Below are 14,887 nucleotides of genomic sequence, written 5' to 3' on the forward strand. Positions count from 1 at the left end.
ACCATGCCTGGCTAATCTTTTGTATTTTTAGTGGAGATGGTGTCTCACCATGTTGCCCAGGCTGGTCTCGAACTTCTGAGCTCAGGCAATCTACCCACCTCAGCCTCTCAAAGTGCTAGGATTGCAGGTGTGAGCCACTGTGCCCAGCCTCTACCTTCAATTCTGAAAGGCTTACTCAGGGCAGCCACTCCACCTGCCATAGCAGCCAAGGAGAGGTGGCTAGACCATAGAAAAGAATGTTCCAAAGTGGCTTACTGAAAGCATAAAGCTAAGTTGATGAGAGACAGTTTTGCACATAAGGAAGAGAGGAGAGGCCGAGGAGAAAAAAAAAAAAAAGCAAAAGGGGGGTCAAGCACAGTGGCTCATACCTGTAATCCCAACACTTTGAGAAATCAAAACAGGAAGACTGTTTGAGCCAAAGAGTTTGAGGCCAGCCTGGGCAACATAGTGAGACCCCCATATCTAAAATTTCTTTTCTTTTTTTTTTTTTTTTTTTTGGAAATTAGCCAGATATGGTGGTGGGCACCTGCAGTCCTAGCTACTGGGGAGGTGGAGGTGGGAGGATCACTTGAGCCCAGGAAATAGAGGCTACAGTGAGCTGTGAATACGCCACTGCACTCCAGCCTAGGTGACAAAGCAAGACCCTGTCTCAAAAGAAAAAGAAAGAAAGAAAAAAAATGAAAGAAAAATGGAAAAAAAACCTTTAAAGAAAACTGATAAGGAAAATATAAGAAAAGAAAGGAAAGGGAATCAACAGGTATAAACTGCCCTCAACCTCTAGTAAGTGAGGATCCTTATTATTACTTTACACATAAGGAAAATGGGACACAAAGCAGTTAACATACTTGCAGGGGCAGGTGCGTTAGCTCATTCCTGTAATCCCAGCACTTTGGAAGGCTGAGGCAGGAAGATGACTTGAGCCCAAGAGTTCAAGACCAGCCTGAGCAACATAGTGAGACCATGTGTCTACGAAAAATTTAAAAAGTTAGCCAGGCACACTGGTGCAAACATATAGTCCCAGCTACTTGGAAGGCTGAGGGAGGGAAGATTACTTGAGCCTGGGAGTTTGATGTTGTCGTGAACTATGATCCTGCCATCGTACTTCAGCCTGGGCAACAGAGAGAGATACTGTCTCAAAACAAACAAACAAACAACAAAACGAACAACAACAAGAACAAACACACCACTTGCAGAAGGTGTGTATCCATTAAGTAACGGATGGAAAGAGGAAAGAAAGAAAGAGGAGTGGGATTCTGAAGAGTGAAAATGTATGAGGATGAGGGGAAAATGAATGTATAAAGAGAGGAAAGAGGAAGAAAGGCAAGCAAAATAATCCAATACTGTAATTCAAAAGGAAAGATTGCAACACTGACATTTCCCAGTCATTCAGCTATGAAGGCCCTGTTGCCCTGGGACCATACCGGGCTGGCCCTTCTCTGAGTATAGGGATCTTTCTTAAACACAAGCCCAGAAGGTCATCCACTGTGTGAACAGGTTGTATTCTTACTCTGTGGAATTTCAGGAACTGCTTCAGAGAAAGAATTTTCCTTCAAGTCCTGACCAATCCTTAGGTAGAATACTGTGGAGGTATAAAATGCCAGGACATACACAAGGCCAAAGAACCTGTACTTCTTCTTCCGTCCCAGATCTCAACCTAGACTCAGGTGGTCAGGCCGATGTCTCCCCGTTCATCCAACTGTGACAAAAGGTCTTTCTAACCGCCTCACCCCCACCCAAACAAAAAACATACCACTGGGTGAGCACTGCAACCTGGTTCTCTGGAAATTACAGACCAACTGTAATGTGTTTTGTCAGCATCCTTGCTTTGGGTTTTTTGGTGTGTGTCTGTCTATCTTTAATGTTAATGTGAGTTTAAGAAACCTCCTACCTTTTCCTCTTTTCTGAGCACAGAAACTCCTGTTGACACATAGGGGTCAGGGCTATAGAGAAAATCTGGCCAGCTAGCTAAGAGTGATAAATCCAGACTAGGGGTGAACAGCCCACAAATTTCTCATATTCTTCTTTTTGGTTATCAGCCATCATTTTTCAATAGGTTCACATAACCTCCCAGCTCTAACACACAGAGCTCCAAAACTCCAGCTCTTGGCTATGGGAATGTTATTAAAACAACAGAAACAAGTTGTAACCAAGTACCAAGTTATATCAAGCATTGTGGAAGCTAATAATAATATTGACTATAACTATGATAACAAATAGTATATACCATTCCTTGTTCACAGGTGACTTTCACATATATTGTTTCATTTCATCATCATTAGTAGTCCTGACAAGTAGATGAGGCAAGTATTTTTCACTGTTGCCTGGATAAACAACCTGAGGTCCAGGCAGATTAAGAAATGACTAGTGAGGGGAGGACATAGAATTGAAACTTCTAGTCCTGACCTTGGTCCTCTTTTCACCATATCATAGCTTTTAGTATATTCAGCTCTCTCTTGAAATAAAATTTGCCTATCTGCAACTCTCACTTGGTGGTATTATTTCTGATCTCTAGATTTAAACAGAAAAAAAAAGTTCCTATTGGTTTGTTTGTGTGTTGCATTTCAAACAGAACTTGAACTGGCTAATACCTTATGTAATGGCATCTCTTCTTCAAGCTAAGCATAGTCATTTCTTTCAAGCAGGAAGGTCCAAAGAAGTGAAAAAACAGAGATGTGGAGGAAAGATTCCTAATACACTTTCCTTCCAGGAGGACTCAGCAGGAACACTCTCTGGCTTCCTGGGCAGCAAATCCAACCAGGAGGATCTTAATTAAGAGTCTTGCTTTAAGTGTATATAGATTTAAATTTTAAAAAAGAAAGATATGTGTGTGTGTGTATATATATGTATATATACACACATATATATATATATATTTAAGTACATTTGCTCATGTATGGTTGCTGAAATGAAAATACCATCATGGGCCATGCACAGTGGCTCACACCTGTAATCCCAGCACTTTGAGAGGCCAAGGTGGGCAGATCACTTGAGGTGAAGAGTTCGAGACCAGCCTGACCAACATGGTGAAACCCCGTCTCTACTAAAAATACAAAAAATAGCTGGGCATGGGGGCAGGCATGGTGGCAGACATGGTAGGCATGGTGGCATGGTGCCTGTAACCCCAGCTACTCAGGAGGCTAAGGCACGAGAATCACTTGAACCCAGGAGGTGGAGGATGCAGTGAGCCCATATCACGCCACTGCACTCCAGCCTGGGCAACAGAGTGAGACTCCATCTCAAAAAAAAAAAAAAAAAAAAAACAGAGAAAAGAAAAGAAAAAAAAATACCATCATGTACTAAAGGTGTTTCCCAACTTATTAAAGTGAACTGACCCTTTTAAACCATCCGAGGCTTGCTGATTACTTCCAAACTTCATCTGATCCCTACTCCTTTCCAACTTTAGAAGATGGTGAGCAAATTATTCTTACTGGTGGTAGTGGCGGATTTAAAAATTATTATTATTATTATTATTCTCATCATTGAATAAGTGGTGACCACATATATTTGACTAATTTTTAAGATTGCTTTTATAATTCTTGAAAGTCCCTGTCTCCCATGGATACATCATTTGCTACGCCATGCCAGTATTGTCTCCACAAACATATTTTCATTATAATCATTTCCGTTTCAATCCTGCTTGAGAATAGCATTTCCTCATAGTAAGGAACTACCTGGGTTTCCCCTCACATTAGAGAAAAGTAAACAGACAAGTTACAAGCATGTAGGCAAATGAATTATAGTCAGCCATAACTTCTTCATTATGCCACCATTTAGTGAACTCTTGAGGTTAAGTGCTGTGCTTATCCATAGGAAAGAGGTAATAGTGAAGCCACGAAGCCCTGGGTTCCAATTTCTCTCTGTCACTTACTAGATTTGATCTTGGTTAAATCACATGATTTCCCCAGAACTCAGTTTCCTCATCTGGGACACCAGCTTTGAAGAGGTATTGTGAAGACTGAGTAAAATATGAATATTTAAAAGCTGACACAGAGGAAACAATAAATATTAGCTTCTTGTCCCATTATTCATCTTAGCATCCTCACAAGATGAGCACCCAATTATTTATTTGTTAAATTGCTCTGAGTACAGGCATACGTTGGAGATTTTTCAGGTTTGGTTTCAGACCACTGTGACGAAGCAAATATCACAATACAGCAAGTCACACAAACGTTTCGGTTTCCCACTGCATAGAAAAGTTATGTTTACACTGTACTATATATTAAGTATGCAATGACATTAAGCCCAAAAAAGTAATGCACATAGCTTAACTTAAAAATACTTCATTGATAAATAATGCTAATGATCATATGAGCCTTCAGCAAGTTATAATCTTGCTGACGGTGGAGGGTCTTACCTCTATGTTGATGGCTGCTGACTGATCAGTGTGGTGGTTGCTGAAGGTTGGGATGGCTGCGTCAATTTCTTAAACTAAGACATCACTGAAGTTTGCTACATCAATTGACTCTTCTTTTCGTGAAAGATTCTCTGTAGCTGCTGTGTTTAAGAGTATTTTACCCACAATAGAACTTCTTTCAAAAGTGGAGTCAATCTTCTCAAACCCTGCCACTACTTTATCAACGAAGTTTATTTCTATCCTAAATTCTTTGCTATCATTTCAATAACGTTCACAGCACCTTCACAAGGAGATTTCATGTCAAGAAACCACTTTTTTGCTTATCCATAAGCAACCCCTCATCTGTTCAGATTTTATCATGAGATTATAGAAATTTAGTAACATCTTCAGGCTTCACTTATAATTCTAGTTATCTTGCTCTTTCCACCACATCTGCAGTTACTTCCTCTACTAAATTTGTGAGCCCCTCAAAGTCATCCATGAAGACTGACATAAACTTCTTCCAAACTCCTGTTAGTGTTGATATTTGGCCTCTTCCCATGAATCACCATTGTTCTTAATAGTATCCAGAATGGTGAAGTCTCTCCAGAAGGTTATCCATTTAGTTTGCCCAGATCCATCACAGAACAACTATCCAGGGCAGCTGTAGCCTTAAAAATCATATTTCTTAAATTATAAGGCTTGAAAGTTGAAATTATTCCTTGATTCATGGGCTGCAGAACGAATGTTGTGTTAGCAGGCGTGAAACCATTCATCTCTTTGTACATCTCCATCAGAGTTCTTGGCTGAACCCGGTGCATTGTCAAATAAGCAGTAATATTTTAAAAGGAATATTTTCTTTAGGCAGTAGATCTCAACAGTGGGCTTAAACTATGCAGTAAACCACACTGTAAACATACGCTGTCATCTAAGCTTTGTTGTTCCACTTATAGAGCACAGGCAGAGTAGATTTAGCATAATAATTAAGGGCCTTATGATTTTTAGAATAGTAAATGAGCATTGGCTTCAATTTAATGTCACCAGTTGCACTGAGCCCCTAAAAAGAAAGTTAGCCTGTCCCTTGAAGGTAAGCATTGACTTCTCCTCTCTAGTTATGAAAGTCTTAGATGGCATCATCCTGCAAGAGAAGGCTGCTTCATCTACATTGAAAATCTGTTGTTTAGTGTAGACACCTTTATTGGTGATCTCAGCTGGATCTTCTAGATAACTTGCTGCAGTTTCTACATCAACACTTGCTGTTTCACTTTGTACTTTCATATTATGGGGATGGTATCTTTCCTTAAACCTCCTGCACCAATTTCTGTTAGCTTCAAACTTTTCTTCTGCAGCTTCCTTACCTCTCTTGGCCTTCATAGAATTGAGGAGAGTTAGGGCCTTACTCCGGATTAGGCTTTGGTTTAAGGGAGTGCTGTGGCTGGTTTGATCTTCTATCCAGGCCACTACAACTCTCCCCATAACAGCAATAAGGCTGTTTTGCTTTCTTATCATCCATGTGTTCACTAGAGTAGCATTTTTAATTTCCTTCAAGAATTTTTCCTTGGCATTCACCGTTTGGCTAACTTTTTGACACAAAAACCCTAGCTTTCTGCCTGTCTCAGCTTTCAACATGCTGTCCTCACTAAGCTTAAACATTTTTAGCTTTGGTTTAAAGTGAGAGAGATGTGAGTCTTCCTTTCACTTGAACACTTAGAGGCCATTGTTGTGTTATTAATTGGCCTAATTTCAATATTTTATGTTGTAGGGAATATGAAAATCCAGGGAGAGGGAGAAAGATGGAGAGCTGCCAGTCAGTGGAGCAGTCAGGACAGACATATTTATCAATTAAACTCACCATCTTATATAGGTGTGATTTGTGGTACCCCAAAAGAATTACAATAGTAACATCAGAGATCACCATAACAGATATAATAATAATAAATTTGAAATACTGCAAGGTTTATCCAAATATGACACAGAGACATGAAGTGAGCTCAAGCTGTTGGCAAAATGGTACACAGTAGACTTTCTTGACACGGGGTTGCCACAAACTTCAATTTGTAAAAAATGCAATATCTGTAAAATATAATAAAGTGAAGTGCAATAAAACAAGGTACCTGTATATCAAATCTCTGCTTTGAATTTTCTTATCTCTTCGTTTTTAAGGAGAAAAAAATGATTAAAAATTAAGGCCACATGATTCTAGATAGCGTAAGAGAATGTGGGGTGGAGAATTATGGGTGGGAGTAGCTGGGGAACAGGTTTGCCCACCTTCAAACTCATATTGCAGTTCTAGATATAGGGAGTGGTTTGTTATAATTTTGGAGTATTTTTATTTGTTTTTTGTTTTGTTTTATAAATGGAAGTTATAAAGCACAAAGTAAAATGAATGACATCAACCAACCTTATGATTCAGAGTTTTTGTTCTGTTTTTCAGTAGAAAAAAATAATTTCTATTGATACCCCACTGGCTGCGCCATCTGCTCCTGACATTAAGCTCCTTCTTCCTCTGCTGTTCCATCTTTCATGAGTGGTCCCATGAATGCTTTCCTCTCCTCCAGGGTCTGGAAGCCGCCATGGCCAACTTGGAGGTGGTGTTAGTGTTCTCCAGAGGACACTGCTCTGTACCAGCAAAGACTTGCAGAGGCTGAGCACTCACTTCTTGGTTCCCACCACACAGCCTTTCGGCATGACAAACTCATTGGTCACTTCACCATAGACAAAGCCATCCAGAGGATTGATGCTCTTGTCAGACAGATCATAATCAGTGGATGCATTGTTCTTAATCAGTTTGCCATATTCTTGCTGATCTCAGTGCAGTGGTAGCAGCCTTTCTGCCCGGTGCATATCACAGAGAAAACGACATGGACAGGATGTCATGCCCCAGCACAGGCAACCTTGTGCAGCCCTTAGTGGGTCTTCCAGGACAGTTTGTTGGTGTGCCAATGACTGGTGACCACTTTGTAGCCTTTGCCCTTGGTCACCCCAGTGACATTGATCATTGCATACTGCCCAAACACTTGGTTCACAGGTACTTGCTGCTCTAGACTCTTCTGGGACTACTCTCATTTCTCGGTCACAGTGCTTCCATTCATCTGCATCTCCATCAGGTGCCTTCCGGCATAGAGGAAGCAGGCACATCTGGGTGTGAGCAATGATGCAGATGACTTGGCAGTACTTTTTCATGCTGTTGAAGTTCTTCTCCAGCTGCTTTTCACCATCCTCATCCTGCCATTTCTTGCAGTACTCGGTAAAGGCCTTCTTCTCAGATTTATGCCAGTTCTTATAGAAGCACCTCTTGTACTAATCCTGGATGTGCTCAGCAAAGGTGGTCTTGAAGGTCTGGAAGCCTCAAGGAGTTTCCACATAGCCCACAATTCCTACAACCACCATGGGTGGCATTTTCACAATGGCCCAGCTTCTACTTCCCTCTTGTTCACCTTGGATCCTGGCCTACAGACTTCCCACACAATGTAGGTCATGCCAGCCTTGTAAACCAGAAATACCATGAAGTGGACTGACTGGGAAGGGTCAAGCTTGGAGAAGCTCTTCACCTTCCCATGATGCCTGCTGCCATGCCTCCCAGGCAGGAAGCTCAGGGACCCCTGTCTGGGAGCAGAGAACTTCCTGTGAGACATGTTGTCATCGAATCCCGCCAATAGAGCAGGAGTTCTTAATAGCTTGAGTGGATCCTCCTTTCCCAGAGATGCATTATATAATTAGCACCAAATATTTAAAACAAAATGCTTCAATTGTTTCTGTTACAGTGCGTTTAAAGTAGTGAAAAATTAGAAACAATGTAACATCCAATAACAGGAGTATGGCTATATAAATTGTAATCGCTCACACAATGGAATGGCACGTCACCATTATGAAGCAGACTTGTATTTACTGATACGTGAGTGAAAAATTCAGGATACAAATACACACACAGAGGAAATGGACACTTTTCAGTATATTTATAGGTAAACTTGCACAAACTTTCTGGCAGGTTATATAGTAAATTATCTCCTCTGGGTGGTAGCTTTAGGATGATTAAACTTACTTCCCTTTTACTTCTTAGTAAAATATATTGTACTTTCTCAAGAATATTCATTACTTCTGTGATTTAAAAAGGGAAGGATGAGGCACACAATTACTTTTTAAGAAATTCAGTATTTATCTACAGCCTCTTCCTCCTGATGGCCACTGCTTTGAAATAAGCTAGCCTGAATTAAATAATCTGAAGGACTCTAATTTGGTCAGCAGCATTTCATTCTCTATCCTAAATATATCTTTGGAGTTTTATTAGATAAAAATAAATATTTATTAGATATTGTGAGAGGAAAAATAAATAAACAGTTCCTACCAAACATGAAGTCTAATCAAAATTTTGAGTTTTTAATTATTTGCAGTGAATCTGCTTCTAAAGAAAAGATTGCAAAAAGGTCATAGTTTCTAAGGGAAGAATCACGGGAGGGTGGGACTAAGCAGCTATAAATGGGTGCTGAATAAAGAGACGAACATCTAATCATTTTCATAGTTCTATTACTAAGAAATTGATAACAGGTCAGGCACGGTGGCTCATGTCTGTATTCCCAGCACTTTGGGAGACTGAGGCAGGAGGATCACTTGAGACCAGGAGTCCAAGACCAGTCTGGGCAACATACTAAGATCCTGTCTCTCCAAAATATGTTTAAAATTACCCAAGCACAGCGGTGCATGCCTGTAGTCCTAGCTACTCAAGAGGCTGAGGTAGGAGGATCACTTGAGCCCAGGAGGTCGAGGCTGCAATGAGCTATGATTGCGCCACTGCACTCCAGCCTGAGCAGCAGAGCAAGACTCTATCTCGAAAAGAAAATTGATAACAAGAGGCACAGTTAAGCATCACTAGTAATGCTTTCTCTCTCTGTTGGAATCCCTGATATCTCCTCCATGGTGAGTTGAAGGACTAGAACCCCGTTTGAGCAAGTAGTAGATGGAGATTGTCTTTGGCTTTAAATTCAGAGAAAGGGAAATGAGTATTTGCCACCAGCTAATAATGGTCTAGGAAACAAGTTAAGTCCCCAGATGTTCACCTAAGGGGATCTGATGACCTCCAGGGAAAAGGACATAACAGGGCTGAACTTTTTACAGAGGGTCTGGTTGGTTCCAAGCCTGTGTACATGGAAGGAGCTGGAAACAAAATAGCTAATCATGGCAGAGTAGGATTCCAAGGAGTCCAAAAGCACCCCACTGAGAAAGCAAGAGAACAGTGCACACTCCTTGGTTGGAATCTTGATTCTACCACTTAAAGGGGCGACCTACAACAGTACTGCACAACATTGGCCCCCATTCTGGTGCCAGTCTACAAATGCATTACTACTGGACCACAACAAATACAGAAAGTAAAAGTAAGTATTTAGAAACAATTTGACTTTGCTGCAACATCCAAGACCATGATCAGGCAATAAATCTCCTTGAACAGTGTACAAACTAGCTGGGTTGTTGAAATTGCATGATGAATCACATGTGGTATGACATGTGACAACACTTGGCATTTTGTTAGTTCATTAACTGAATGCCAAAAGCATATAAAAATTTGTGGAACAAAGCATGTATTTACTTTTATAATTTGTTCTTTTGTAACCACTTTCATTTTTAATCAAGCTTATTTTTAAGTTTATGGTTCATCATTATTAGCTAAATTGGGGAAGTAATATTTATATTTTTATCCTTAATATACTAAAGTTAAGGTGATCTTCAGTGACATTTTGGGGGAAGGAGAGTCAAGAAAAGATCCATTTTTTTCTGAAAACAGTAGTAGTAAACTAAATAATGATAATAAAGCTGATACTGAGAAAATGAAGACTAAAAGGTTTAAGGCTTGTTTTACTCCAGAGTATGAGTCCTATATTGAGTTACTTTGTGTGACACAATTGATGGAGAAGTGGTAAGATCACAGTACAGTATTTACAGGAGATGTACTGGCTAGTAAAGCAATGAAACCAGCAAACCTTAAGCAGCATTTATATACAAAACATAAAAACATTCAAAACCAAGCAATTATATTTAAATATAGCCACCTAAAATGTAATAATTACTATCAAAATTAAAATCTATCTCTAAAACTAGAGTTAGCCCAGGCAACATCATGGGTATATATATCTAACTTTCAAAGGACAGATCATTGCTATATTGTATAATTGTTTCCAAAGCATAGAAAAAGATGGAAAACTTCCCAGCTCAATCCAAAAATCTAGTATAATAATCTTTATTTTAAAATATAAAGCCATTTATGCAAACGTGTAGAGAAAGATTTGGAGGAATCTTTCTCTGAGGCCAATCTCATTTGGTACATGAATAAAAAAATCTTTGGTGTAAGAAAATCTAATCCAGCATTGCATGAAAACAACAACCAAACAGGCTTTTCATAGAGGTGTAAGGATAGTTCAACATCAGGGACTCCATTACTATAATTCTACAAAATTAATAGATTAAAGGAGAAAAATTGTTCGGTGATCTAAAAGATGGCAAAATTATTTAAGAAAAAGATAAATTTTCAAAGTTTCAAGAAGAAAAGACACATAATTAAAACTATTATAATGCAAGCTTACACAATTAGATTAATTAAATAGAATAGAGAGCTTCAGAGATAGAATCATGTGTCATTGAAATTTAATATACAAAATGCTATACTCAACAACCATAGAAAGGACTAAATTAATTTTTATAACCATGTTGAAATAATTTGCTATCAATTTGGGAAAAAAAGTTAAACTTATAATTCCTATCATATCCCCAAATAAACTCCAGATTACTAAAAAAATTCCTTAATATACAAAACAAAACAATAAAAATATTAGAAAAGCACACTGGAAAACATAGAAGTCACAAAAAAAGAACAAAAAATGAAAATTTAAACTTTTATGACAAGTGGTATCATTAATAAATTAAAACACATGTAATAAGTTGAAAAAATATTTGCAACATATATAAGGGACAAAAAATAAAGACTCAAAAACTGTAAAGAGATTTTAACAAATCAGTAAGAAGCAGACAAATCATCCAACAGAAAACAGGTGAAGGATATGAACAGGCAATTCACAGAAGAAGAAACGCAAGGATATATAGAAAGTATGTGTAAAATTTTGTTTCACTTCACTATTAACCAGTGAGTTATTTTCTCTCATCAAATGAGCCAAAATTAAATTTTGAGAATGTGCATTGTTGTGATGGTGTGGGAGAAAAGGCATTTCATGTTTCGTTGATGGGAGTGCAATTTGGAAAACCTAAACTCTGCCTTTGGGAGATAATTTGGCAATATTTATCTAATTACATGTAATAAATATTTGCTTGATCAATTACATTCTTAGAAATCTCTCCTTCAAAAATACTCTCACATAATTACACAAACCTTAAACAACCTAACTGTGCATCTATTAGTTGAAACATCTTTAATAACCTTAATAGTATATCTATTTTATGGAATAATATGCAACAATTAAGAATAATCAAATATGTTGTATTTACTACTCTTAAATGATCTGTAAAGCATGTTCTTAAGTTAACCAGCAAAATAAGGCAAGTTGCAGAACACAAGTACAGTATGATTACTTTTGTGGGAAAAAAACACCTAAATACTTATATAAACACATGAAAAAAGATGTAGAAAGATGCATTCCAAATGTTTCTCCAAGGAGGGGGAAGCTGGATGAGAAAGGATGAAGGAAACATTTGCTTTTTATTCTGCCTAGTTTAGTTTGTTTATTTGAAGAATATATATTTGGATTACTGGTATAACTTTTAAGTTCTTGAACATGCAGGGGAATATAAAGCAGAACAAGTATATACGAACATTAAAAGAAAAAATGCATCACAGCCACCTTTTTTTTCCTTTTTTTAGACGGAGTCTTGCTCTGTCATCAGGCTGGAGTGCAGTGGCGTGATCTCGGGTCACTGCAACCTCTGCCTCCCGAGTTCAAGCGATTCTCCTGCCTCAGCCTCCCGAGTAGCTGGGACTACAGGTCGCGCCACCACACCCAGTTAATTTTTGTGTTTTTAGTAGAGACGGGGTTTCACCATGTTGGCCTTGATCTCTTGACCTTGTGATCCACCCTCCTCAGCCTCCCAAAGTGCTGGGATTACAGGCGTGAGCCACCACGCCCAGCCACAGCCACTTTTTGACATGTCACATATCTCATTGGCAGAGTTAGGATATTGGAACACAGTAACTGGTGAACAGAAAACAATCATCCCATTCTCGCCTCTGGTTCCTTGTAACTGGCACCAATCACATTTGTAGACTTCTTTAGAGTTTACTTTATAAAATATTTCAATAATAATAACGCTTTGTATCTGTAAAATACAAAGCAATTTCTTATTTATTTTTGTCTTTGATCAGGAAAATTGAGCAAATATTATTATACACACAGTTTTCTAGGGAAGGAGATAAGACTCAGTGGAATGTCTAAAATTGCAGAGCAAGTATAGTCTTCATCCTTGCCTCTTGTTCCTACTTCCATTGCTTTCATACAACACCAGAGTGAAGTTCCTTGAATCAAAATACTGTAGTTAATAGACTTATATATTCTATGAGTTGAACTTATATCTGACAGCAGGAATATGGTTATTGATGAACAACAACATTCCTATTGGACATTTCTACACGTAACATTGTCCCAAAGTCTGAAATTAGCAACAAAATGCCTGTTCACATCCTCTATTGATATTCTATTGGTTTATTTGCCTGTTTTTTATTGATTTGTAATATCTCTGTATATTTTTTAGAACTTTATCCTTCGTCCTTTAGATATGTTGCAAATCGTTTTCTAATCTGTTACATGTATTTTAATTTGAACTCATTTGTAATAAAACGTTTAATTTTTATTGTTCTTGTTCTTTTTTTATATAACATATAAAATGTTTTCCAATATACTTTTCTTATTCTCTGGCAAAGCTAAGAACTCACATGACTTGCCCAATATCACATGGCTAATTAAGAGCAGAATCGAGCTTAGAACCTAGTTCTCCTGAACCCAGGGCCAGTAATCCCTCCACCACAGTATGTCTTACCTTCTTACCACAATCCTGCCACACAGTTCATCTTTATTTTTTGTATTTGAGGTATTGTGCGTACAGAATATGTGACCAGAGATGGATGAAATTTGAAGTTTAAGTTTCTTGGCACTTCCTCTTAAAAGCATTCAAAATATAAGAGATTATGATAAACTTTAGCCCCATGGCATAGGTACAGAGCCCAGGCTTAAAGGGATCCTAGGCCTGAAAAAGGCTTGGAGAAAATTCATTCCGGTGGATTTATCTTTTACATGAAGGAATAGAAGCCTAAGGAGGTAAAGAGATGTTTTTTCCACGTTCACTGCCAAAGTGTCGTAGATAGATGCAAAATGCTGTTCTCCTCCCATTTTCCTGTTCTGTCTCATAGATTAGATTTCACCAAGCAAAGGAATTCCGGGACAAGCTAAGAGAGGAGAGGATACTCTCTTAAAAATCTGGAAGAAGGGAAAAATCCAAATTTGAAAAACTACAAAAGAAGGATAAAAAAGCAGAACTATTGAGATGAAATTGGTCACAATCTCTATTTTATAATTGGAGATTAGTTCATTTATTTGAGTTTGAATCTGTCATCTAATACTTTTCTTTTTTCTACCTATTTTATGTTTATTTTTCATTACTTTCTGGCTTTCTTTTTAATTAATTAACATTTTATTATTTTATTTTCCCCCTTATTAATAAGCTTTGTTAGTTTACCCTTTTTAAAGTGGTTAAAAGATTACACTATGTGTCCAACAATGATAGACTGGATTAAGAAAATGTGGCACATATACACCATGGAATACTATGCAGCCATAAAAAATGATGAGTTCATGTCCTTTGTAGGGACATGGATGAAATTGGAAATCATCATTCTCAGTAAACTATCACAAGGACAAAAAACCAAACAACCCATGTTCTCACTCATGGATGGGAATTGAACAATGAGAACACATGGACACAGGAAGGGGAACATCACACTCTGGGGACTGTTGTCGGGTGGGGGGAGCGGGGAGGGATAGCATTAGGAGATATACCTAATGCTAAATGACGAGTTAATGGGTGCAGCACAGCAGCATGGCACATGTGTACATATCTAACTACCCTGCACATTGTGCACATGTACCCTAAAACTTAAAGTACAGTAATAATTTAAAAAAAAAGAAAATACAAAAAAAAAAAAAGAAAATGTGGCACATATACACCATGGAATACTATGCAGTCATAAAAAAATGATGAGTTCATGTCCTTTGTAGGGACATGGATGAAGCTGGAAACCATCATTCTCAGCAAACTATCGCAAGGACAAAAAATCAAACACCGCATGTTCTCACTCATAGGTGGGAATTGAACAATGAGAACACATGGACACAGGAAGGGGAACATCACACACCGGGGACTGTTGTGGGTTGGGGGGAGTGGGGAGGGATAGCATTAGGAGATATACCTAATGTTAAATGATGAGTTAATGGGTGCAGCACACCAACATGGCACATGTATACATATGTAACAAACCTGCACATTGTGCATATGTACCCTGAAACT

General features: G+C 38.3%; 1 pseudogene; it reads right to left on the reverse strand.

Moving 5' to 3' along the window:
* Positions 6,764-7,994, reverse strand: RPL3P11 (ribosomal protein L3 pseudogene 11; annotated as a pseudogene).

The sequence above is a fragment of the Homo sapiens genome, chromosome 9 (genome assembly GCF_000001405.40).
Source record: "Homo sapiens chromosome 9, GRCh38.p14 Primary Assembly".
In the NCBI taxonomy this organism is placed as follows: Eukaryota; Metazoa; Chordata; class Mammalia; order Primates; family Hominidae; genus Homo; species Homo sapiens.